Source organism: Homo sapiens, chromosome 3, assembly GCF_000001405.40.
Source record: "Homo sapiens chromosome 3, GRCh38.p14 Primary Assembly".
NCBI lineage: Eukaryota > Metazoa > Chordata > Mammalia > Primates > Hominidae > Homo > Homo sapiens.
The window spans coordinates 197724990-197750108 of record NC_000003.12 but is presented as its reverse complement, the minus strand read 5'-3'; the positions used below and the strand labels follow the sequence as shown (position 1 = coordinate 197750108).

At 46.4% G+C, this 25119-nt stretch overlaps 2 protein-coding genes across 11 annotated transcripts in view, besides 7 other annotated features; one reads left to right on the top strand and one right to left on the bottom strand.

The window, feature by feature from the left end:
- FYTTD1 (forty-two-three domain containing 1) overlaps positions 1–576 on the bottom strand; it is a 38064-nt gene extending 37488 nt beyond the window's left edge. Inside the window, exon 1 of one of the 2 annotated variants that reach the window (NM_001011537.3) lies at positions 459–576. Coding sequence is in view for 1 of the 2 variants with exons in the window: in NM_032288.7 (NP_115664.2) it covers positions 35–137 (103 nt within the window). In the remaining variant the exon portion in view is untranslated. Of the gene's footprint in view, positions 1–34; positions 227–458 lie in introns of those variants that run through there. The other variant, NM_032288.7, reaches the window with a different exon arrangement.
- Positions 90–429: a silencer, noted in NCBI's record as "silent region_15091". NCBI's record gives its function as "represses an Ori minimal core promoter by ATAC-STARR-seq in GM12878 lymphoblastoid cells {active_cell/tissue: GM12878}" and the evidence as "EXISTENCE:reporter gene assay evidence [ECO:0000049][PMID:35858748]".
- RUBCN (rubicon autophagy regulator) overlaps positions 289–25119 on the top strand; it is an 80954-nt gene continuing 56123 nt past the window's right edge. For 6 of the 9 annotated variants that reach the window (XM_017007543.2, NM_014687.4, XM_006713828.4 and 3 more), the window contains exon 1: positions 13205–13454. Coding sequence is in view for 6 of the 9 variants with exons in the window: in NM_014687.4 (NP_055502.1) it covers positions 13390–13454 (65 nt within the window). In the remaining 3 variants the exon portion in view is untranslated. Of the gene's footprint in view, positions 841–1663; positions 1788–13204; positions 13455–25119 lie in introns of those variants that run through there. The other 3 variants (XM_006713831.5, NM_001145642.5, XM_047449268.1) reach the window with 2 other exon arrangements.
- Positions 3161–3260: an enhancer, noted in NCBI's record as "active region_21115". NCBI's record gives its function as "activates an Ori minimal core promoter by ATAC-STARR-seq in GM12878 lymphoblastoid cells {active_cell/tissue: GM12878}" and the evidence as "EXISTENCE:reporter gene assay evidence [ECO:0000049][PMID:35858748]".
- Positions 10450–10582: a silencer, noted in NCBI's record as "fragment chr3:197466398-197466530 (GRCh37/hg19 assembly coordinates)". NCBI's record gives its function as "represses an EF-1alpha promoter that drives an FKBP-Casp9 reporter gene in an ReSE screen in K562 erythroleukemia cells {active_cell/tissue: K562}" and the evidence as "EXISTENCE:reporter gene assay evidence [ECO:0000049][PMID:32094911]".
- Positions 12942–13491: a silencer, noted in NCBI's record as "silent region_15090". NCBI's record gives its function as "represses an Ori minimal core promoter by ATAC-STARR-seq in GM12878 lymphoblastoid cells {active_cell/tissue: GM12878}" and the evidence as "EXISTENCE:reporter gene assay evidence [ECO:0000049][PMID:35858748]".
- Positions 12942–13927: a biological region, named in NCBI's record as "H3K27ac hESC enhancer GRCh37_chr3:197463053-197463900".
- Positions 13080–13927: an enhancer, noted in NCBI's record as "H3K27ac hESC enhancer chr3:197463053-197463900 (GRCh37/hg19 assembly coordinates)". NCBI's record gives its function as "activates a minimal SCP1, AML or CMV promoter by ChIP-STARR-seq in primed H9 embryonic stem cells {active_cell/tissue: H9 hESC(primed)}" and the evidence as "EXISTENCE:reporter gene assay evidence [ECO:0000049][PMID:30033119]".
- Positions 14858–14907: an enhancer, noted in NCBI's record as "active region_21114". NCBI's record gives its function as "activates an Ori minimal core promoter by ATAC-STARR-seq in GM12878 lymphoblastoid cells {active_cell/tissue: GM12878}" and the evidence as "EXISTENCE:reporter gene assay evidence [ECO:0000049][PMID:35858748]".

Here is a 25119-nt window from a genome sequence, read left to right as displayed (position 1 = left end):
CCGCACTCCAACTCGGTCCAACTCGGCCCCTCACCCAAAGACATATCTATTTTGTCGAGGTTTTCATTGCTGCGGGCCTTCGGCGGCGGCGAAGAAGTCGCCGTGGCTCCCACCAACCGGGTACCAAACCGGTTCATGGCTGGAGACGTCGCGCCGAGAGCGGGCGCGGACAAGGCCGGAGTCGCAGGCCTGCCACCTCCCACTCGCGCACGCAGCCCGCCGCACCGAGGGAGCGCGCACGCGCCGGCGCCGTCCTCGGTCTCCACCCGCGGCTGCGGGCGGGGCGGGGCCACCGACACTCGCGGGCGACCAGAGCGGCCCCGCGCCGTGACTCGCTCCTAGCGGCCCTCGCAGGATCGGACGAGGCATTGCAGCCGCTGTGCTAGGCGCTCGCGAGGACCGCCGTTGTGAGCAGTTCGACTTTCCGCCCAAACTGGGGGATGCTAGACCGCGGGCACCTCTGAATCTTATGCCTTCAGTGATATAATCCTCCGTGTCCTTCGAGTCCCTCCTGCTGCAGACAGGTCCCCTATACTTCGGTACACACGAGCCTTTCGCGCCCACCGCAACGCAGCCTCGGGAGGCAGGACAGACCCCTGCGAGTGTAGATTGCAGCTGCATCCCAGCTCCCCCCTCCCTGGCACGCTCCTCCACCTACAGCTGCGCTGAGCTGCCGCATCTGAACGCAAAGCAAACGCTGCAGTGACGGTTCCTGCGTCACCTTAACTCCAAAGTAAATGCTAACGTTTCCCGTGTCTGTACCTTCTCTCAATCGGCACTCTCAAAACATCTGGCACGGTGTTCACTACCCTAATAAGACCTCAGCTTCCCTCGGGAGGGGTAAGTACCTCTGTTGATGTAGCTGCATTTTCTTCTAATTCATTTGCATTGGGAATGGATAGAAGGGTTCGTTTACTTTTTAATCATCCCTACGGGAAAACAGTTTAATATTTGATGAATTCCTGCATGATAACTTTTTTCCGTTTACAACATACGGTATTTACCTCTCTTCTTACCTCATTCTCCTTCCCTGAAGTAACTGCGTTTATGTGGAAGCGTTTAGGTTATATCACCCTCATACAGCTTAAAACTATCTCGGATATTTACATCTAAGGACAATACCAGATGCATTCTGTCCACCTAGAAATCTCTGTCGCCTTTCTCCTCTCCAATTCATAAAATGCAAAAATTCCTTTAGCATGGAAACCAGCCATCTCAAAACCACAGTAGCCTTTGCTTAATTTAGTCATGTCACAATGTCATGTGGCTTCCAACTTCAACACCAATGACACATTTACTATTTTTTGCTTGGGGATCCCATGTTTTAAAATATTTCTTATGCATGTCACACTTAAAAATTAAAGCCAGCTGTTCCAGCTCCCCTTTCCAGGCCTGAATTTAAAGCAAAGCTTGCAGTGACAATTTTGCGGTCACCTTAACAATAAAAGTAAATGTGAACGTTTCCTGTATATGTAGCATGGATAAAACCAGGAGTCTTCACACAGATTATGTTTCCAGCTGAACTCAAAGAACCATGACTTTTTTGTAAGCCTAGTAGTCTTATCTTGGGGAAATGTATGATTTTTGTTAGGCTTTTGGGAATATTCTAAATAACTTCTTATTCTCAAAGGTTAAGATGTCTCTTTTTTTTTATCATGACAAGGACATAACAATATAGGAAGAGTGAACCACACACCTATCAAGGGGCACAAGAAACTTTAATAGTGGAGGAAAGTTTGGACTCGGAAACTCAAGAACAATATTTGGCATGTCAAGGAGAATATCATGTATGTCCTTAGCATAATGTGCTTGATTTTACTACTCTCTCACCCTGAAGCCCCTTCATTTGTCTGGACTGCTAAAAACTAGAGAAACTGGCTCACGCCTGTCATCCCAGCACTTTGGGAGGCCGAGGCAGGCGGATCACCTGAGGTCAGGAGTTTGAGACCAGCCTGACCAACATGGTGAAACCCCTACTAAAAAATAAAAATAAATAAAAAAATAAAAAAATTAGCCGGGCATGATGGTGGGCACCTGTAATCTCAGCTACTTGGGAGGCTGAGGCAGGAGAATCGCTTGAACCCGGGAGGCGGAGGTTGCAGTGAGCTGAGATCGTGCCATTGCACTCCAGCCTGGGTGACACAGCAAGACTCCATCTCAAATAAAAAAAAAAAAAAAACTACAGAAACTGGGTTGTGGGCCCAGACCTGAGTTTTATTGAGTGATAACTTTTTCACTGACTTTAGTTATTCACTGTATGATTTTGGGAGAGTCTCTGGACCTCATACCCATCTTCAAAACCAGAAAAAGGAGTAAGAATAGTGAGTATGAAAAGTATATTTAAAATCCTCTAAGCACAAGTCATTTTTCTCCACATTCACCTTCTGTCACTAGAAATAACTTCTACCATCTCTGCTCATTTGTGAGAGTAAACTACAGAGAGGATCCTTAGGTTAAGTTCTTAATTTTATGGAAGAAAATTAATGCAATTAGAGTTTGGAGGCATTTTGTACTTCAGGTATTTATAGGACAGATAAAAATCCCAAATGTATAAAATCCTCCCTACCACTAATATAATAAAGATTCTCGACCTGGTGCAGTGGCTCACGCTTGTAATCCCAGCACTTTGGGAGGCCGAGGCAGGTGGATCACTTGAGCCCAGGAGTACGAGACCAGCCTGGGCGACATCGTGAGACCCTGTCTTAAAAAAAAAAAAAAGATTCTCTTTTATCCTGATCTTCTCCCCCAAACCAAAGCCTTATCCCCAGTCTCTATAGTGCAAAAGGCCATGCTGCAGTATTTGATTAAACAGTCCTAGCTGTTGTGTTTCAGACTTTCAGGTTTCCCCAAGGGCTGAGAGTCTTGGGGCCTAGGAGCCATCCCCAGATTCCAGAGGGAAAGGCAAGAAAGCAAGAGTGAAGCATTGTGGGTAATGGCAGGTCTTTTCATACACAAAACAGAAAATAGCAACCCGAGACACACACAGTAAAAATAAAGAGGAAGACAAGCCAAGAAATCGGAACTGGGTCCTGTCCAAGAAGTCCATCAGCCAACCACAAGGGCCAGGGTTAAAAGGTCAACCCTGCAATTTTCTGGGGCAGGAGAGGTAGCTATTCATTTAATCATATATTCATTGAGCATCAGGCACTGTAATAGGCCCTGGGGATTAAAAAAAAAAAAAGTGAGCAAGACGGATGCACACCCTATCTTCACACAGCTTGAAGAGCAAAGAATATCTCAGCACCTGCTGTGAACAAGGCCCTGGACTGGACGTGGGCATTCAGCCTTTGTTGGTGTACAGCAGTTCCACAGCTTCGCCTAAGTCAAAATAAACATGGGATCCAAGCAGTTGCCCTTTTAAAAGACTTCGTTTCACACAATGTAGATAAAACAACCTCCAGGATTGCCAGATAAAATGCAGGGCCAGCTAAATTTGAATTTCAGATAAACAACGGACAATTGTTTAGTACAAATATGTCCCACGTTTCAGATAAACAGTGATTTTTTTTTAACTACAGTAAGTTTCATGTAATATTTAGGATATATTTACAACAGAGAATCATTTCATTGTGTGAAATAAAATAATTCAAACTTAAAGCTGTTGAAACTTTAAATTATTCTGAGCTTTGAGAGGGACATGGCTATATGGCATGAGTCAAGCAGCATGTAGTTGTAACTTCTGCTTTTTCCTGTAAGTGATCTGGAATGATTGAGGCGTGCCAGAGATAAGACCCCTGAGAACATTACACCTCCTCACAGAATATTAAAGGAATCTTCCTTGGAATGTAGCAAGTTAAACTAATCAAATTGTTACAACTGTTTCTGCCTATATAAGTGAAATCTTGGCCTCCTCACTTTGGAGCACTGACCCCATTCCTTTGGAATCATGTTTCGCGATGGCTATCCTCAAGCTTTGTGCTGCAGTAAACTTTATACTTAGTCATATTTTCTGAATCTCATTATTGAAGGTTGACATTTGTTTAACTGAAATTCAGGTTTAACTGGGAGTCTTTTATTTTATTTGCTAAATCTGGCAACCTTCTCAACCTCATACTTTTCTTTCTTTCTTTCCTTTTTTGAGACAGAGTCTCACTCTGTTGCCCAGGCTGGAGTGCAGTGGCATGATCTCACTGCAACCTCCGCCTCCCGGGTTTAAGCTATTCTTTTCCTCAACCTCCCCTATAGCTGAGATTACAGGTGCATGGCACCACGCCCAGCTAATTTTTGTATTTTTAGTGGAGACAGCATTTCACTATGTTGGCCAGGCTGGTCTCGAACTCCTGACCTCAGGTGATCCACCCGACTCAGACTCCCAAAGTGCTGGCATTACAGGTGTGAGCCACCGCGCCCAGCTCAACCTCATAGTTTTCTGTTAACACTTTCTGGCTCCTTTTTCATAATGTGCACAGAAATCTATGTTTCTTCAAAGGTAGTAAACTCTTACACACTTCACCCCTTAACTTTTTATCAGTTTGATTTGCCTTTTTTTTTTTGAGATGGATTTTCACTCTTTTTGCCCAGGCTGGAGTGCAGTGGCATGATCTCACCTCACCACAACCTCTGCCTCCCGGATTCAAGAAATTCTCCTGCCTTAGCCTCCCAAGTAGCTGGGATTTCAGGCATGCGCCACCATGCTGAGCTAATTTTGTATTTTTAGTAGAGACAGTGTTTCACCATGTTGGTCAGGCTGGTCTCGAACTCCCGACCTCAGGTAATCCGCCCGCCTCAGCCTCCCAAAGTGCTGGGATTACAGGTGTGAGCCACTGCACCTGGCTTGATTTGCCTTTTAAATCCCCCTTTTCTTTTCTTTCTTTTTTTTTTTTTGAGACAGCATCTCTCTCTGTTGCCCAGGCTGGAGTGCAATGGCGTGATCTCGGCTCACTGCAACCTCCGCCTCCCGGGTTCAAGCAATTCTCCTGCCTCAGCCTCCTGAGTAGCTGGGACTACAGGTGCGTGCCACCACGCCTGGCTAAATTTTATATTTTTAATAGAGATGGGGTTTCACCATGTTGGCCAGGATGGTCTCGATCTCTTGACTTTGTGATCTGCCCACCTCGGCCTCCCAAAGTGCTGGGATTACAGGTGTGAAGCCACCGTGCCCAGCCTAAATCCCCCTTTTCTTAGTTTTGAGATATATTTGATAATAAAAGACACATACTGAAAGTATGCAGTTTATACAGGTGTACAGGATATATACCTGTGAAAACACTACGATAATCTGAATAAATATTATTATATATTCATTATTTTCTAAAGTTTTCTTGCTCACCTTTGTAATCCTTACCCCCCACCTACTATCTAGGCAACTACTGATCTGTTTTCTGTTGCTGTAGATTAATTTGCATTTTCTAGTATTTTTAATAAATGGAATCATACAGTATATACTTTTTAACTGGATTATTTCACATAGCATAACTGTTTTTTATTTGTATGCCTTTTCTTTTTCTTGCCTTATTGCACTGACTAGGGACTCTAGTATCATGTTTAATTGGAGTAGTGAAAGTGAACATCTTTGCCTTGTTCCCAACCCCAGAGGGAAAGCGTTCAGTCTTTCAACATTAAGTATGATGCTAATTTTTAAAAATGCCTTTTTTTAGGTTGAGGAAGTTCCCTTCTACTCCTGATTTGCTGAGAGTTAATCATGAATAAATGCTGAGTTTTATCTGATGCTTTTTCTGTATCTAGAGATTATCAAAAGGTTTTTCTTGCAAAATGTATTAATATGGCGAATTACATTGGCTATCAAATTTTGAATGTTGATTTTGTTTTTGAATGTTGATGTTCCAAATATTGCATTTTTGGGATAAACCTACTTGGTCATGGTATATTATCCTTTTTACATGTTGTTGGATTTGACTTGCTAATATTTTGCCAAGAATTTTGTCTTTTCATGAGTGACACTGGTATGTAATTTCCTTTTCTTGTAATTCATTTGTCTGTTTCTTATGTTAACTCTTTTGCTTTTCAAAAGAGGATATCTAGAAATCATATTGATGTAATATGTATTATACTGGTATATTAAAGAAGTATGGTATAATTTATATTATATGATATATAGATAATATGTATTAGGTATAATAACTAATTATTAGCTAATATTAGTTATTTTTTATTTATTTATTTTTTAGACAGAGTCTCACTCTGTCACCCAGGCTGGAGTCCAGTGGCGCAATCTTGACTCACTGCAACCTCCGCCTCCCGGGTTCAAGCAATTCTCCTGCCTCAGCCTCCCAAGTAGCTGGGATTACAGGCGCTCGCCACCACGCCCGGCTAATTTTTGTATTTTTAGTAGAGACGGGGTTTCACCATGTTGGTCAGGCTGGTCTTGAACTCCTGACCTCGTGATCCACCCACCTCGGCCTCCCAAAGTTTTGGGATTACAGGCGTGAGCCACCGCGCCTGGCCAATATTAGTTATTAATAAACAATAGCTAATTCGTAGCACCCTTAAACTACTTATATATACACTACAGGTTTTCTTCTCTTTTCTGTTCAATTTTTTCCATTCTACCTGTCTGCTGCTGTCTTCTGCTGCAGTAGCTTTTCTTTGCCACTTTGCTGTAGCTTTCTGTCCCTCTTCTGTGTTGCCCTTTTCCTTTGTTGTAAACTTTTCCTGTTCTAGTCTTCTGCCTTTTAATCTCAAAATTTGTTTGTTCATTTATTCGTTCATTCAACAGAGTTCGAGGTCCTCCTATGTGCAAGACACTGTGCTAGAGGCTGGGGATACCGCAGAGAACATGACAGACGGGGTTGCAGGCATAGCTGCTGCCCTTAAGAAACTCAAGACACTGTGCTAGAGGCTGGGGATACCGCAGAGAACATGACAGACGGGGTGGCAGGCATAGCTGCTGCCCTTAAGAAACTCAAGACACTGTGCTAGAGGCTGGGGATACTGCAGAGAACATGACAGACGGGGTTGCAGGCATAGCTGCTGCCCTTAAGAAACTCAAGAGCTCCGGAGGAGCCTGCCCGCCTCAGCTAGCAAGTTTAAAGGAGCACTACTGGCCACTAAGTCCCTGAGCATCAGTTCTGTGTGACTAGGGAATCTGCTCTGGGTGGACAAGGGAACTTGAAGGGGAATTCTTCCTGGACTCAGGGGTGGGACCTCTCAGCTTATTAGGCCTTGCCCTCCCTAGGGAAGGCAGGAGTCTTGACCACCAGGGGTTCTAGATTGACTCACTGAATGACCAACTGTGGCATTTTCCAAAGCTAAACAAATTTACATAAAGTGCAAAATTCCACCCATTTACATAAAACTGTTTGTTTTTCGAAGATATCCTCAATTTGTACTGGATGGATTTGTAGTCCAGGAAGGCTCAGGGAGCCAGGATTCTTGGGTCGCGGGTCTTCAGGCATTCCTCCTTCTCCCAGGCTTCTTCTCTCTGTGCCCCGCAGGTTCCCTGCTCTGGGATGAGGAGCCCAGGCTGGGGGAGACTAACTAAAGCACAGCGTCTTGCACATAGCAGCCACTCAAGCTCTGACCCTCTTCATGCAGTGGAGGGTCCCTTCTGTGCAGCTTTACTCAGCGAGAGTTGCAGGAAGCTGGGGCAGGGACAAAACGAACATTCGTCAACTATGTTAAGGATTTGCTCAGTCTAGAAATAAGATTTTTTTTTTTTGAGACAGTCTCACTTTGTCACCCAGGCTGGAGTGCAGTGGTGGGATCTCGGCTCACTGAAACCTCCGCTTCCCAGGTTCAGGTGATTCTCCTGCCTCAGCCTCCCAAGTGGCTGGGATTACAGGCGTCCGCCACCAAGCCCAGCTGATTTTTGTATTTTTAGTAGAGATGGGGTTTCACCATGCTGGCCAGGCTGGCCTCGAACTTCTGACCTCAAGCGATCCGCCCACCTCGGCCTCCTAAAGTGCTGCTATTACAGGCGTGAGCCACTGCACTCAGCTTAGAAATAAGATTTTTAAAATTTTCATTTTAACATTAAAAATTGCACATTTTCTTTGGGAGGCCGAGGTGGGCAGATCATGAGGTCAGGAGATCGAAACCATCCTGGCTAACACAGTGAAACCCCGTCTCTACTAAAAATACAAAAAATTAGCCAGGCGGCAGCGGGCGCCCGTAATTTTAGCTACTCAGGAGGCTGAGGCAGGAGAATCGCTTGAACCTGGGAGGCAGAGGTTGCAGTGAGCCAAGATTGCGCCACTGCACTCCAGCCTGGGTGACAAAGCGAGACTCCGTCTCAAAAAAAAAGAAAAAGCACACATTTTTATCCACCGTTCGTGGCTGGCAAGTGTTCCTATATAGTTTTTTGGGGTTTTTTTTTTTTGAGATGGAGTCTTGCTCTGTTGCAGTGGTGCAATCTCTGGAGTGCAGTGGTGCGATCTCAGCTCACTGCAATGTCCACCTCCTGGGTTCAAGGGATTCTCCTGCCTCAGCCTCCCAGGTAGCTGGGATTACAGGCGCCCACCACCATGCCTGGCGAATTTTTAGTAGAGACAGGATTTCACCATGTTAGCCAGGCTGTTCTTGAACTCCTGACCTCAAGTGATCCTCCCACCTCGGCCTCCCAAGGTGCTGGGATTACAGGCATGAGCCACTGTGCCCAGCCAGTTCCTATATAATTGAATAAATGAACCACTACTAAGTGCTTAGAGGGGATGGAAATGTTGCTATAAAGACAGAATAAAAGCTAAGTAATTAAAACTTGGCAAAATTCTTCAAAAGCTTTTAAAATCATCTCATCAGATGAACTACTATAAGCTTTATATATGCCTAACAGAAAAAGAATTTTGGTAAATCAGTAAATTTGGTAAAGTCAGTGAATTGGTCATTTGGCAAAATTGGCTTAAAAGACTTTTAGAAATGCTACCTATGGGGAAAACATAAATTAATTTTAAACTGTCTTTAAAGTTAATCATTACAAGATTAAAAATTTCCATGTGAAACACTAAAATTTTTGTTATATTTAGCAGGATACAGTCATAAGAAAACAAAACCATACTAAGATCATTGACTATTTTTTTAGGTCCCCATGAAAGCAGAACCTTGACTATTTTTTAAACTTGCAAATGTAGAGAAAAGTTGCAAAAATAGTGCAATGAATACCCATATATCCTCTACTTCGCCAATTAATGTTTTGCCACATTTGCTTTCTCTCTGTATAGAGGTATTAGTTGTTGTTAGACAATTTGAGAGAAAGTTGCAGGAATTATGACTCTTTAGAATCTATTTCTAAGGGCTGTGTGCAGTGGCTCACACGTGTAATCCCAGCACTTTGGGAGGCTGAGGTGGGCAGGTCACTTGAGGTCAGAAGTTCGAGACCAGCCTGGCCAACATGATGAAACCCCGTCTCTACTAAAAATATAAAAACTAACTGGGCGTGGTGTTGGGCACCTGTAATCCCAGCTACTCGGGAGGCTGAGGCAGGAGAATTGCTTGAACCCAGGAGGCACAGGTTGCAGTGAGCTGAGATTGTGCCACTGCACTCCAGCCTGGGCAACACAGCAAGACTCTGTCTCAAAAAAAAAAGAAAGAGAATATATTTCTAGGGATATTCCTTAACATAACCATGCTAAAATTACCAAGTTTAGAAAATTTAACATTGATGCTGTACTATTATCCAATTATGGTTCATGTTCAAATTTTGCCAATTATACTACAAAATTTCTTTTTCTTTTTCTTTTTTTTTAAGATGGAGTCTTGCCTTGTTGCCCAGGATGGAGTGCAATGGCATGACCTCAGCTCACTGCAACCTCCGCCTCCCAGGTTAAAGAGATTCTCCTGGCTCAGCCTCCCGAGTAGCTGGGATTACAGGCGTCTGCCACCATTCCCAGCTAATTTTTTGTATTTTGTATTTTCAGTGGATCCATGATCCAGCCTGAGTGACAGAGCGAGACTCCATCTCAAAAGAAAAAAAAACAAAAGAAGGGGTTCAGGATTATGAGGGAAAGTAGAGGGATGGGATAGGTAACGCATGGCTAGTGCAGATTATTGTCATGTTTATTAATGGCTTTAAAGAAAATCCAGTACATGTAACTTGAACTTGGACATATGAGAAAAAGCCTGTTTTCCAGCCTTTTTGCTACAATTTTAGTTTTTGGATTTCTTTTTTTTCTCCCCAAGACAGTCTCACTCTGTCACCCAGGGTGGAGTGCAGTGGTACAATCTCAGCTCACTGCAACCTCTACCTCACGGGTTCAAACGATTCTCATGCCTCAGCCACCCAAGTAGCTGGGATTACAGGCGTGTGCCACTACACCCGACTATTTTTTCTTTGTATTTTTAGTAGAGACAGAGTTTCACTATGTTGGCCAGGCTGGTTTCGAACTCCTGGTGTCAAGTGACCCGCCTGCCTGGGCCTCCCAGTGTTGAGATTACAGGCGTGAGCCACCGCTTCTGGCCCCTAGGATTTCCTGATAAAGCTGATTGCCTTTTTTTTTGAAACGGAGTCTCCCTCTGTCGCCCAGGTCTAGCTCTGTCTTCCAGGCTGGAGTGCAGTGGCGTGATCTCTGCTCACTGCAAGCTCCGCCTCCCGGGTTCATCACGCCATTCTCCTGCCTCAGCCTCCGGAGTAGCTGGGACTACAGGCGCCCGCCACCACGCCCGGCTAATTTTTTGTTGTATTTTTAGTAGAGACGGGGTTTCACCGTGTCAGCCAGGATAGTCTCCATCTCCTGACCTCGTGATCTGCCCGCCTTGACCTCCCAAAGTGCTGGGATTACAGGCATGAGCCACCACGCCCGGCCTTTTTTTTTTTTTCTTTTTTCAGACGAAGTCTTGCTCTTATCGCCCAGGCTGGAGTGCAGTAGCACGATCTCGGCTCACTGCAAGCCCTGCCTCCTGGGTTCAAGCCATTCTCCTGCCTCAGCCTCCTGAGTAGCTGGGATTACAGGCGTCTGCCACCATGCCCGGCTAATTTTTTTGTATTTTTTAGTACGCCTGTAATCCCAGCACTTTGGGAGGCCGAAGCCGGCGGATCACCTGAGGTCGGGAGTTCAAGACCGGCCTGACCAACATGGAGAAACCTTGTCCCTACTAAAAAATACAAAATTAGCCGGGCGTGGTGGCGGATGCCTGTAATCCCAGCTGCTCAGGAGGCTGAGGCAGGAGAATCGCTTGAACCCGATCGCGCCATTGCACTCCAGTCTAGCCAACAAGAGTGAAACTCTGTCTCAAAAATAAATAAATAAATAATATAGTGTTAATTTGGGATTATACTGTATGCCAAAAAATAAAGTTCATACATTTATAGAACTAGAAGTAAGGCCAGGTATGGTGCCTCATGCCTGTAATCCCAATACTTTTTGGGTGACTGAGGCAGGAGGACTGCTTGAGCCCAGGAATTTGAGACCAGCTTAGGCAGCACAGTGAGACCCTGTCTCTACCAAAAATTAAAAAAAAAAAAACAAATTAGCTGGGCATAGTGGCACTGCCTGTGGTCCCAGCTACTTGGGAAGCTGAGGTGAGAGGATCCGCTTGAGGAGGTTGAGGCTGCAGTGAACTGTGGCAGCGCTACTGCACCCCAGCCTGGGTGACAGAGCAAGACTGCGTCTCCAAAAGAGAAGAAAGTCACAGAAGGAAGAGAAATCCCAATGAGTAATATTGCCCCTTTCTTAAAGAAGTATAATCGTTTAGTAGGAAAATGAGAAAGTTTGAAAGAGAGTATTTTTTTAACCTAAATGAAATCATAAATGGCTTCAAGAGGCTCTTTCATTTCATTTTTAATTGCCAAAACACTTTTGTCAAGTTTGAAAATACCTAAAAGCCATATATTATTTTAATATAGAGTCATTAGTTTTTCACGGAGTTATTCTTGATCGCTCTTTCTCCCTCACTTGCCACAGTCAGTCCTTTATAGAGTAGTGCTGATTCTGTTGCCTTCACATTGCTGTAATCTGAGCCTCCTTGTTCTCTTCAACCGCTGCTGTAGTTTAAGCCTGGGTTTGCAAACTAGCAACTCAAGGGCCACCTTCAGCCTACAGACAAGCTGTGTTTGGCCTGTGCAAAGTTGAAAGTTTAAAAAATTTGTTGCCAACGTTTAAAAATTTGGAAGTAGTGCTTAAAAATGCAGATCCTAGCTTCTTTTAAAAAATCAAAATATCATAGCTAGGTGTGGTGGCTCGCACCTGTAGTCCCAGCTATTCAGGAGGCTGAGGAAGGAGGACTGCTTGAGCCCAGGAGTTCCAGGCTGCAGGGAGCTATGATTGCGCCACTGCACCCCAGCCTGGGCGACAGAGAGAGACCCCGTCTTTGAAAAAGAAAAAAGAGAAACCAGAGTATCTGGCAACCCTAGGCCCACGTTTCTTTCAACTGGTTCGCTTCACTTCTTAGCATTACTTGGTTATCCCCCATAAGGATGACCAGTCTCCTATCTAGCCTTCCACCGTTACCTCAATATAGTATTATATCTGCCCCATCTCCTGTCCACATTGTCAAAAGTGGCTTTCTCATCAGATTCGATCAAATCACTTCTTGATTTGCATATGCTTGATTTGCTGATTGTTTTCAGGATAAAATCCAAACTCCTTAAAATGGCATTTCATGATCTGGTTTCCCCACACCAGAATGCCCACACCATGCTGCTGCTCACTCCTTCCCAGCTCTGGCTACCCAGCACCTGCAGTTCCCAAGCCAGCACTTCCTTCCTTGTATCTGCCGTGTTGCTCTCTCCACCTTCTCTTCTTTCTCCTGGCTAACCCGTACTCAGCCTTGAAAACTCTGCGTTGACATCCATCTTCCGAGAGCCCCCAGAAGCCTTTCTCTCCTGCTCTTTTATGATCCCAAAGCAACCTGTGCTCTTGTTTGTGAGCGCTTCATTTAAATGCTCGAGGTCTCCAAACACCACCAGCGGACATTAAGCCAGGGCGGGCTGAGTGGGGTTAATCGTACCGGGATTAGATTAGCGTTATTGCCTAGTCTACATCTCGGACTGAGTTCGGTCCCCAGCGTGTAATGTCACGGGGGTGAATAAGGATACGCCCCGGCACGGATTCCTGAGACCAAGGTCCCCCGCCGCTTGCAAGCCGGCCCAGCCAACCACCGGGTGCGTAGTAATCCACGAGCGCGGCCTGGGATTGGAGGGCGCGGCCTGCGGGAGCGGCCTGGGATTGGAGGGCGCGGCTTGCGGGAGCGGCCTGCCGTTGGAGGGGCGCGGTCTGCGAGCGCGGCCTGGGATTGGAGGACGCGTCCTGCGGGAGCGGCCTAGCCTCGGAGTGCTCGCCGGGGGCTGTAGTCCCCGGAGCCGGAAGTGGGGGTGGCCGGGATAGAAGCCGCAGCCCAGGCGGCGGTCCCTCCCGCTGTCGCCGCCCGGGTGTAGCGCATCACCCGGAGCCCACCGGCCGCAGGTGCCTCCTCCGGCCCCAGGGGGCCCCGGGAGCCCTGAAGGGCGAAGCGGCAGGGACGCCTCTCTTGGGCGAAGAGGCGGCCTCACCGCCCCGGATGCGGCCGGAGGGCGCGGGAATGGAGCTCGGAGGCGGCGAGGAGCGCCTGCCTGAGGAGAGCAGGTGGGCTGGGAGCCGCCGCGGAGTCGGGGCAGCGACAGGCGCCGGAGCCCCGGGAGGCTTGGGAGGGCGCGGGGTCACGGAGAGAAGGGCCGGGCGCGACGAGTCTTGAGGACGACGGCTGCGGAGGACTTGTTTGGGAAGCATTTCGCAGAGGAAGGACGGGCGGGGCGGGGATGGGACGAAGGAACCGGCTTAGGGTGAGGAGGGTGGGTGGGATTTGCGGAGGGCAAGGGCAGCAGAGGAGGGTGAAGCTCAGATCCAAGACTGCTGGAGAGGAGGTGGCAGCTGAGAGACTGGGCGAAGAGGCCAGAGGGGTGCAGTGAGGTTTTACAGGCCAGAGTCTATAGACAGGGGCAGGGCACCACCCGGACTGAAACTTGCCGTGACAGCAAGTGGGGCCAACGCGAAGAGGATGTGAGAATTCCTGGGAGCAGAGGTGAAGCGTTATGAGTGGCCTCGGAAGAAGCTTAGGCAGAGATGAGCATGGGGATGAAGGCGAGGAGAGCCTGGGGAGAAAGTGAGCGAGTGTCATGGCAGTGCGGTGGGGCGGGGACTGCTAATGAGACCAGAAACTCTGCACTTTGTCATTGCCGAATCCCTGTCAGAGAGTGGCAGGACCTCTGTGCCATTTCCTTTTCGTCTTCAAACCTGTCCCTTTTTCCTCACAATGCAAACTAAGCAAGTTCACATTTATTTATATGGAACCATGTCAGAAAGCTCATATCTTCTAGAAATTGGGGGATTTAAAATATAAAAACTACTTTGGACCGGGTGCGGTGCCTCACACCTGTAATTCCAGCACCTTGGGGGAGGCTGAGGCGGGTCGCTTGAGTCCAGGAGTTTGAGACCAGCCTGGGTAACCTAGGGAGATCCCCGTCTCTACAAAAATACAAAAATTAGCTCGGCGTGGTGGTGCTCACCTGTGGTGCCAGCTACTCGGGAGGCTGAGGCGAGAGGATCACTTGAGTCCAATAAGTCGAGGCTGCATTGAGCCGAGATCGCACCACTACACTCCAGCCTGGGTGACAGAGGAAGACCCTGTCTTCAAAAAACAAAAAGCCAAAGAAACCCCGAACTACTTTGACTAAATGATGAATCGGAGTCTGTAGAGATGCCTTCCATATTTAGGGTTTGCTTCATTAATAACTCTGGTCTTAATCTTTTTTAAAGAGGCTGGAATGCTGACAGGCGAGAGCAGGAATGTGGCTTAAGGGAGTCATACTTGACATTTATTATTTTATTTTTATTTTATTTTTTGAGACACAGCCTCACCCTGTCCCCCAGGCTGAGCGCAGTGCCGTGAACACGGCTCACTGCAGCCTCCAACTCTTGGGCTCAAGCGATTATACTAGCTCAGCTTCCCAAGTAGCTGGGGATATAGGTGCCAGCTACCACATCTGGCTACTTTAAAAAACTTTTTTGTAGAGACAGGGTCTCACCATATTGCCCAGGCTGGTCTCTAACTCCTGGGCTCAAGCAATTCTCCCCCGCCACGTCGGCCTCCCAAAGTGCTGGAATTAACAGGTGTGAGCCACCAGGCCTGACCTCACTTGACATTTAGAAACAGTTTCAGATATAATGATGGTCTCAGGAGCAGCTGGGATCCAAAAACTAGAAGCAGAATATTTACCTCTGAGAAAATATCAACAAGGGAAGATTTATGAGATGTTCCTGGGTGAAGACTTGCTATTTTTAAGGGTGACTCTACTTTTATGTGCAAAGTGGCCTGTTGAACAAAACCTGGACTGACAGGACTTTGGGGCTCCTGCCTGAGATCTGAGAATGATTTGTGCTAAGTGAAACTGAACATCTTACTTCCCTTTTCCATGTTTCAGTTTCTGCTTTGCCTATTTGACTATTTATTCTTCCTGCAGATGTCTGTGACGTGCTTCGTGTGAAAGGTCCCATGTAAATTCTAAACACGTTTTAGGATTGTTTTGATTTCCCTCTACCACTTCATGTGAGGGAGGCTGGGTTAGTTATTTTTTTAATGTATGTAACAAATGCTATTTACCACATGCCAGGAATTGTTTTAAGGTATTAAGATATGAATACTGCGTTAACTTCTTTAATCCCTATAACTATTGTATGTGGTCGGTACTACTGTTATTGCTGTGTCACAGATGAGAAAGCTGAGAAATGGACAGGGTAAGTAACTTGCCAAGGTTGTACAGCGAATCCCTGGCAGAACTGGATTCAAACCCAGGCAGTTCGGCACCAGAGTCTGCGCTTTTTTTTTTTTTTCTTTTTTTAGACAGGGTCTCACTATGTTGCCTAGGCTGGTCTCAAACTCCTGGGCTCAAGATATTCTCCAGCCTCGGCCTCTCAAAAGTGCTGAGGTTACAGGCATGAGCGACCATGCCGGCCCAAGAGACTGCACTTTTTTTTTTTTTTTTTTGAGATAGAGTCTTGCTCTGTCGCCAAGGCTGGAGTGCAGTGGCACCGTCTTGCTTCACTACAACCTCTGCCTCCCAGGTTCAAACAATTCTCCTGCCTCAGCCTCCCAAGTAGCTGGGATTACAGGTGCCCGCCACCACGCCCAGCTAATTTTTTGTATTTTTAGTAGAGACGGGGTTTCGCCATGTTGGCCAGGCTGGTCTCAAACTCCTGACCTCAGAGGATCTACCAGCCTCCGCCTCCCAAAGTGCTGGGATTACAAGCGTGAACCACCGTGCCCGGCCCGAGTCTGTACTTTTAATACTCACCCTATGCTGCCTCTCACTATGCTAATAGTAACAACGGAAGTATAAGATAGTGAATAAATTTCACAGCATTCTGTGCCTGTCATTCAGGCCAGTAGGATAGCTCCTTTGCAGAATCTTTTCCCGTCTTTTATTCTTTTTATGATTGCCTCTTAACCAAAAAACTTTAATCAAAACTTAATTTTAGTAGTGGGGTTATCCTCACAAAGTCACTCCCGTCATTGTTATAGGCATACTGTGTTGGCGGCTGATTAATTCAGAATGCGTTGTTTAATGAGGCTTCATGGTACTGATGGCCTCCTTAGCTCCAGATACACAACTGGTAAATACACATTCCTTGTGCCTATTAATTGAGGCTTTGTGACTGGGTTACTGCAAACATAACCTTTCTATGGCCAATGAAATACCCAGTTCAGAAACAGTCTTCTTGATGAGATAGCATCATTTTTATTTATTTATTTATATATTTTAAAGATAGGGTCTCACTGTGTCACTCAGGCTGGAGTACAATAGTGCAATCGTAGCTCACTGCAGCCTCAAACTCCTGGGCTCAGGTGATCTTCCCACCTCAGCCTCCTCAGTAGCTAGGACTACAGGTGTGTGCCACCACTCCCAGCTAATTTTTAATTTTTTCAGATTTTTTGTAGTGACAGAGTCTCACCATGTTGCCTAGGCCAGTCTCAAACTCCTGGCCTCAAGGGATCTTGCTGCCTTGGCCTCCCAGAGCACTGGGATTACAAGCATGAGCCACTGTGCCCAGCCGGTAGTGTCATTTTAAAAATGAAGGATGAAACTTTTCAGTGTATTTTCCTTAAGTAGTTGATATAATGAAACGTGAATAAGCTTTAAAGTCAGACCTGCATTTGAATCCTAGTTCACGGATTAATTTGGCTTAACTTGATCAAGTTACTTTACGTAACCTGCCTGAGTAGGAAGAATAATGCTTTCCTGCCTGAGAAGTTCTGAGGATTCAATAAAACAATGTGCATAAAGCTCCTGAGAGCCTGATACGTAGGAAGTAGGAAAAATGTCGAATCCACCCCTTGCTAGTTTTTTTGAAATAAGGCGAGGGTCTCCCCCACAAGTGACTGTTTGCAAGGGTATCACTTGTTCTTCCTCTTTCAGTGGCTCCTTCATCCGAGTTGAACACATTGGGACCTAGAGTGTTGGCTTAGCTTCCCACTTCCCCGGTAGTGTGCTTAGGTGATGGGCTTCCCTATTGTTTTCCGTCTAGCTATCACTCCAGCCAGATGCTCTGGGGCTTAGGGATGATACTTCACTTTCCCTCCGTTTCCTAAATGCCAGTTATTTTGAGGTTGCCTGGTAAAACTACTACACTACACTGGGCACGGTGGCTCACGCCTGTAATCCCAACACTTTGGGAGGCCAAGGTGGGTGGATCACGAGGTCAGGAGATCGAGACCATCCTGGCTAACACAGTGAAACCCCGTCTCTACTAAAAATACAAAAAATTAGCCAGGCGTGGTGGCAGGCGCCTGTAGTCCCAGCTACTGGGGAGGTTGAGGCAGGAGAATGGCGTGAACCCGGGAGGCGGAGCTTGCAGTGAGCCGAGATCACGCCACTGCACTCCAGCCTGGGAGACAGAGTGAGACTCGTCTCAAAAATACCCAAACTACTAGACTGGTAAACTGCTAAAGGAATGGTCTTTCTGGCATTGCTCTGTCTCCCTAGACCGCCTTGGCCATGCAGTGTACTGTCTCCCTAGACTGCCTTGGCCATGCAGTCTACTGCTGAGCTTGCAGCTCAGGTACATGTACTGCTCAGTGCTCCTGGCACCGTGATCCAGGTACAGTCAGAATTCAAGGAGTAAGATCCGTTTTAGCATCTCCAAACTAAGCTTATTCCACTGACCAAAACCTGCCCCTCCTCTGATCTCTGTTAATAGCATTTTCCACTCACTCAACATGCCAGAGCGTCAGAGTGACATTTGACATTTCGCTCTTCTCTATTTCCCATATGTAAGCAGTCACCAGGGTCTAAAATTCTGTTCCTAATTTTTCTTTTGAAGCCTTCTTTTTCTCTCCATTTCCAAATATAATGGCTTATAGTACTAAAAAATCTAGGGTGACTGGGAAGTGAGGAGCCACTCTGCCCGGCCAGCCGCCCTGTCCCGGAGGGAGGTGGGGGGGTCAGCCCCCCGCCCGGCCAGCCGCCCCATCCGGGAGGGAGGTGGGGGGGTCAGCCCCCCGCCCGGCCAGTCGCCCCATCCGGGAAGTGAGGGGCGCCTCTGCCCGGCTGCCCCTACTGGGAAGTGAGGAGCCCCTCTGCCCGGCCAGCCGCCCCGTCCGGGAGGGAGGTGGGGGGGTCAGGCCCCGCCCGGCCAGCCGCCCCATCCGGGAGGTGAGGGGCGCCTCTGCCCGGTCGCGCCTACTGGGAAGTGAGGAGCCCCTCTGCCCAGCCACCACCCCGTCTGGGAGGTGTACCCAACAGCTCATTGAGAACGGGCCATGATGACAATGGCGGTTTTGTAGAATAGAAACGGGGGAAAGGTGGGGAAAAGATTGAGAAATCGGATGGTTGCCGTGTCTGTGTGGAAAGAGGTAGACATGGGAGACTTTTCATTTTGTTCTGTACTAAGAAAAATTCTTCTGCCTTGGGATCCTGTTGATCGGTGACGTTACCCCCAACCCTGTGCTCTCTGAAACATGTGCTGTATCCACTCAGGGTTGAATGGATTGAGGGTGGTGCAAGATGTGCTTTGTTAAACAGATGCTTGAAGGCAGCATGCTCCTTAAGAGTCATCACCACTCCCTAATCTCAAGTACCCAGGGACACAAACACTGCGGAAGGCCGCAGGGTCCTCTGCCTAGGAAAACCGGAGACCTTTGTTCACTTGTTTATCTGCTGACCTTCCCTCCACTATTGTCCTGTGACCCTGCCAAATCCCCCTCTGCGAGAAACACCCAAGAATGATCAATAAAAACAAAAACAAAAACAAAAAACCTCTAGTTAACACATAATAATGCCCGCACTGAGCAGATGTTCACTAAGGTGTTGAATAAATAGTTGAAACTGTAAAAAAAAAAAAAAAAAAAAAAAAAAAAAAGATGCTTTTAAAATATGAAAAAAAAAGATATTTTAATGAGAAAAGCTGAGTGTTGGGAGAGAAGCTGATGCAGGGCTTGCATGTCTGCTAGACTTGCTGGCTCCTTGCTTCTAGCACTCCCATTATCTCAAGCAGCCATATGTTTCTCATTCACTTGATACACTGTTTCCTTTCAACCCCCACATCCTCACCACCTGTTTCTTTGTTTGATCATCAATAAATGGTGTGGGCTCCCAGAGCTCCGGGCCTTGGCACAGCATCCACACTCGTGATGGCCCCCTGGTCCCACTTTCTCTCTCAAAAAAAAAAAAAAAAAATCTAGGGTGTACTGTTGCTTCAGAAATGCCCAAATATGGGTGTTCAAATTAAGAATTTGTCTCTGTCTCTGGGCTCTGCTTCCAGATGTGTTGTTTTCATTCTCAGGTAGACTATTCTACAGGTTACCATAGCAACTCCAAGCTTAGCAATACCAGCAACAAGAAAGATGCAGTCCCAGCAGCTCCAGCAAAAGCAAAAATCCCGGGGCTGACTCTTTTTGGACTGACTTGAGTTATGTTTCTGTTCTTGTGGTCGGGGTATGGGCTATTCTGCTTAGTCAGGCCTAAGTTATGTGCCCAACCCTGGATCCTAAGGGAGGGTGAGATCTTGGAACCTCATGGACCAGAGTAAGTAGTAGAGAGGTGGTTCCTCAGTGGAAAATCAGGGTTCTCTTACCAAAATAAAGGGACAAATTCTGGGCAGATATAAAGTTTATTCACTGTAGACCCATATAATCTCTTCTTGGGGATTACCTCAGTAGCTTCTTAACTAATCTTCCAACCTGAATTTAGTCCCAATTCCAGATAGCCTCACCCTGCTACTAGTTTAATTTTTCAGAAACAAAGCTACTATAATATTTTACTCAGGGATGTTCAGTGATTGGCTGGATTTGGTGGCTCATGCCTGTCATCCCAGCTCACCCTGCTACTAGTTTAATTTTTCAGAAACAAAGCTACTATAATATTTTACTCAGGGATGTTCAGTGATTGGCTGGATTTGGTGGCTCATGCCTGTCATCCCAGCACTTTGGGAGGCTGAGGTGGGTGGGTCACCTGAGGTCAGGAGCTCAAGACCAGCCTGGTCAACATGGCAAAATGCTGTCTCTACTAAAAATACAAAAAATTAGCCAGATGTGGTTGTGCACCCCTGTAATCCCAGCTACTCAGGAGGCTAGGCAGGAGAATTGCTTGAACCTGGTAGGCGGAGGTTGCAGTGAGCCCAGGTGATGCCACTGCACTCCACCCTGGGCAACAGATCGAGACTGTCTCAAAAAACAGAACAAAACAAAAGCAGGGGCCGGACGCGGTGGCTCACGCCTGTAATCCCAGCACTTTGGGAGGCCGAGGCAGGCGGATCACAAGGTCAGGAGATCGAGACCATCCTGGCCAACATGGTGAAACCCCGTCTCTACTAAAAATACAAAAAAATTAGCCGGGCGTGGTGGCGGGCGCCTGTAGTCCCAGCTACTTGGGAGGCTGAGGCAGGAGAATGGCGTGAGCCCGGGAGGCAGAACTTGTAGTGAGCCGAGATCGCGCCGCTGCACTCCAGGCTGGGCGACAGAGCGAGACTCCGTCTCAAAAACAACAAACAAAACAAAACAAAAAAAACAAAAGCAATGTTCAGTGGTTTTCCCATTGAAAACAGAATATTTTCCATGTCAAAACTCCTCACCCTGGTATTGAATCTTTTTTTTTTTTTTTTGAGACGGAGTCTCGCTCTGTTGCCCAGGCCAGAAAGCAGTAGCACAATCTCGGCTCACTGCAAGCTCCGCCTCCCGGGTTCACGCCATTCTCCTGACCTCGTGATCCGCCCGCCTCGGCCTCCCAAAGTGCTGGGATTACAGGCGTGAGCCACCGCGCCCGGCCTGAATCTTTCTGTTAGTACTTAATGAAGTTTCCAATTACAAAACCATGGCACACTCACCCACTCTCACATCTTTCTTGCCATTCTCATTCTTGCTTTTCTACACTCACTGCAATACCTCCCTCTTTGCCTGGAGAGCTCTTAGTCGTCCCTTAAATGACGCTCCTTTAGAAGGCACCCCTCTCTGTTAGAGCACATCTGACATCTCCCTTCATAGCATGGTTATGTAAGTGTCCATTTCCCCCATTACGTTCTGAATTCTCTGACAGATGGGACTCTTCCTCTTTAACCGCTATAACGCTTCTTTAAGCACCAGTGCCTAGCCCAGTGCCTGACATATAGTTGGTGTTCAGTGAATATTTGTTTGAGGAATGAAGACATTAACGTTGTGGTCATCCCTCTTACAGATGGGCAGATGCTAGTGGAACTGTTGTCATTGGAAGTGCCACTTTCTTCGCATTTCTCCTATTCATTTTCACTTTTTCACGTTTTTATATTTCCTGTTTTCTTTCTTTCCCGTCCCTGTTTGATTATTCTAGGAGTTAACAGTTTACATAGAGCTAGTAGCAAAGCAGGATGATCACATGATTTTAAAGGAAACTAGCAATTGCTAGTTCGATTTTTAGTACAAAAATTACAGAAACATACCCTTGAAGCTTTTGGGGAAGCTGCTGTTGTCAGAACCCAGGAGGGGACTGCAAGGACTCTAAGCCTGAAGCTTTTCCTCTCCCCACAGCTGTTTTTGTTTTTTGAAGGGTTCTCACATTGTTGCCCAGGCTAGACTTGAACTTTTGAAGTCAGGCAATCCTCCTGCCTCAGCCTCCTGAGGAGCTGGGACTACAGGCATGTGCCACTGTGCCCAGCATAGGTCAGGCAGTCCTCCTGCTTCAGCCTCCTGAGGAGCTGGGACTACAGGCATGTGCCACTGTGCCCAGCATAGGTCAGGCAGTCCTCCTGCTTCAGCCTCCTGAGGAGCTGGGACTACAGGCATGTACCGCTGTGCCCAGCGTGCCTTTTACCTTTAAATCATCTACCTGAAACTGAAAAGACTGAAACACTTTGTCTTTCCTCCCGTGCCATTGCTATTAAAGTGGTGTTGTGTGCCTGCTTTACCTTGTTTGTAAAGCATTCTGCTACCTAGACAGTATAACATGAGCCTGGTGAAGTAATAAGATTGTCTTTCTTATATGTCTCATGAAATCAGCCTTATTGTGCCGCAGTAACACCTTGACAGTTTCTTCCATTCCGTCAAGCAGATTTAAGTCTTTACCATATAAAAGTCATATCCAGTATTTGAGGAAGTCCTTCCTAGCTTTCCTACTTCAGTGAGAGGACCAACAGCATCAACAGGGCCTTGCAATCCATGCTTACCTGCAGACCTGACCTTGGTTTAAACGCAGTGGAGATACTGTTTGGATGTGGAACACTGTAACCAAACTTCATTATGCTGCAGACTGTCCAATCCTTTACAATTTTTGGCAGAATTTTCTTTTTAAGCAGAATGGGTAAGAAGGCTTTATTCTAGGTACCCTTCCTGATTTTGTTGGATTTATTAGATTTATGCAATGGAAGTTCACAGGGGGAAAATGGCAGAGAAAAGAGAATATTATTCTCTGCTCTATGATAATGCTTCCCCTAGATTGTCAGTTACACCCTCCTCTGTGAAGCAATTGTTGTCTCCATTTTACAGTGAGGGAATTGAAGCTTCAAGAGTTTAAATGGCTTGGTCAAGAATGTGGATCTAGGCCAGGTGAGGTGGCTCACGCCTGTAATCCCAGCACTTTGGGAGGCTGAGGCAGGCAGATCACTTGAAGTCAAGAGTTCGAGACCAGCCTGGCCAACATGGTGAAACCCCATTTCTACTAAAAATACAAAAATTAGCTGGGCATGGTGTCAGGCACCTGTAATCTCAGCTACTTGGGAGGCTGAGGCAGGAGAATCATTTGAACCCGGGAGGCGGAGGTTGCAGTGAGCTGAGATCGCACCACTGCCCTCCAGCCTGGGCGACAGAGCAAAACTCAGTCTCAAAAAAAAAAAAAAAAATAGAATGTGCATCTAGTTTGTGAGCAGCTAAGATTCAAATTCAAATTCAGTTTAAATGACTATGATGTCTATTTTCTTTCTACTGGGTGACATTTTCTTCCTGCTTATTAAAATACAAAAGATCTGTAATCCCAGCACTTTGGGAGGCTGAGGCGGGCGGATCATGAGGTCAGGAGTTTGAGACCAGCCTGACCAACATGGTGAAACCCCGTCTCTACTAAAAAATACAAAAATTAGCTGGGTTTGGTGGTGGGTGCCTGTAATCCCCAGCTACTCAGGAGGCTGAGGCAGGAGAATCGCTTGAACCCAGGAGGCAGAGGTTGCAGTGAGCCAAGATCGCACCACTGCCCTCCAGCCTGGGTGACAGAGCGAGACTCTGTCTCAGAAATAAAATAGGCTGGACGCGGTGGCTCACGCCTGTAATCCCAGCACTTTGGGAGGTCGAGGCGGGTGGATCACGAGGTCAGGAGATCGAGACCATCCTGGCTAACACAGTGAAACCCCGTCTCTACTAAAAATACAAAAAATTAGCCAGGCATGGTGGCGGGCACCTGTAGTCCCAGCTACCTGGGAGGCTGAGGCAGGAGAATGGTGTGAACCCAGGAGGCAGAGCTTGCAGTGAACCGAGATCACGCCACTGCACTCCAGCCTGGGCGACAGAGCGAGACTCCGTCTCAAAAAATAAAAATAAAAATAAAAAATAAAATAAAATAAAATACAAAAGAAATAGAAGATACATAGTCCCTTTCCTTCAGGAAACAAGCTATGTAATATTAAACAACAGTCTTAAAGTATTTTTAGAAGGAATGGTATAGCGACATCATACGCTTTTGGAGTTCTAATAAAGGAGCTATAGTGGGTCAGATTATTTAGAACCTTTTTAGAGAAAGTTGAATTAGAGCTGGACCTGAATCCCTGAATGGGGTGAGAACAGGCATTCCAGGTGGAGAGCTCTGCATGAATAAGATCATGGCAGTAGAGTGAGGTTGGCATGTTTGTAATAGTGTGTGATGAGGTCCCCGTACCTAACCTGAGGAGTACTGGGCAGCAAAGTTGGTATTTAGATTGGGGCCAATGATGGAGAATTTTTCACCTCCATGCTAAGGAGTTTGTTGGTGGTTAGGTTTCTGACATAAGGGATTTTTCATCCGTATGTTAAATCCACTGATTGTTGAAATTCAATGCATTTGATGTTACTCAGGTGTTAAATAGGTGTCGAATTACAAAGCATACCTACAGGTACTGCTTATTCCCTCCTGTACATTAAGATTCTCCTTTGGCTGCGTGCAGTGGCTCACGTCTGTAATCCTAGCACTTTAGGAGGCCGAGGCAGATGGTTGCTTGAGCCCAAGAGTTTGAGACCAATCTCAGCAACATAGTAAGACTCTGGTCTCTACAAAAAAAAAAAAAAAAAAAAAAAGATTCTCCTGTCAGCCATGAAATGTATGGGACTGGCCGATGGTTACATTCTCCCAGGTGCCCCAGAGCTGAGAGACTATATAAGAGAGTCAAGTATGTTTTTCCTATAAGCATGTTATTTATTTAAAGCATATTATTTATGTAAAAAGGAGCACATTCAACTACACAGCCTGCAAGTTAAATACTAGATAATTAAAAACAGCAAATATATGGCCAGATAAGAAGAAACATTAAACACACATGTGATAGTCTCTCGCTACCTCAGTGTTACCAATAATTATTTCACTTAATTATATTTTTTCTACCTGAAGGAGGAACCCATTACCTCTTTCCAGGAAGTACTTTCTGGCATTAAAAGTCCCAGGGACACTTGCCTGACCACAGTCTTCCAACTTCGAAGCCCTTGATACTGAGTATTTTAAAAATCCTTTATGGTACTTTCCAGCTTCTGGTTTGTTCAGATTATTGATCCTTTCTTTGTGGGGAGGGATTTTTTTAGTTTTTTTGTAGAGACGAGATTTTGCATGTTGGC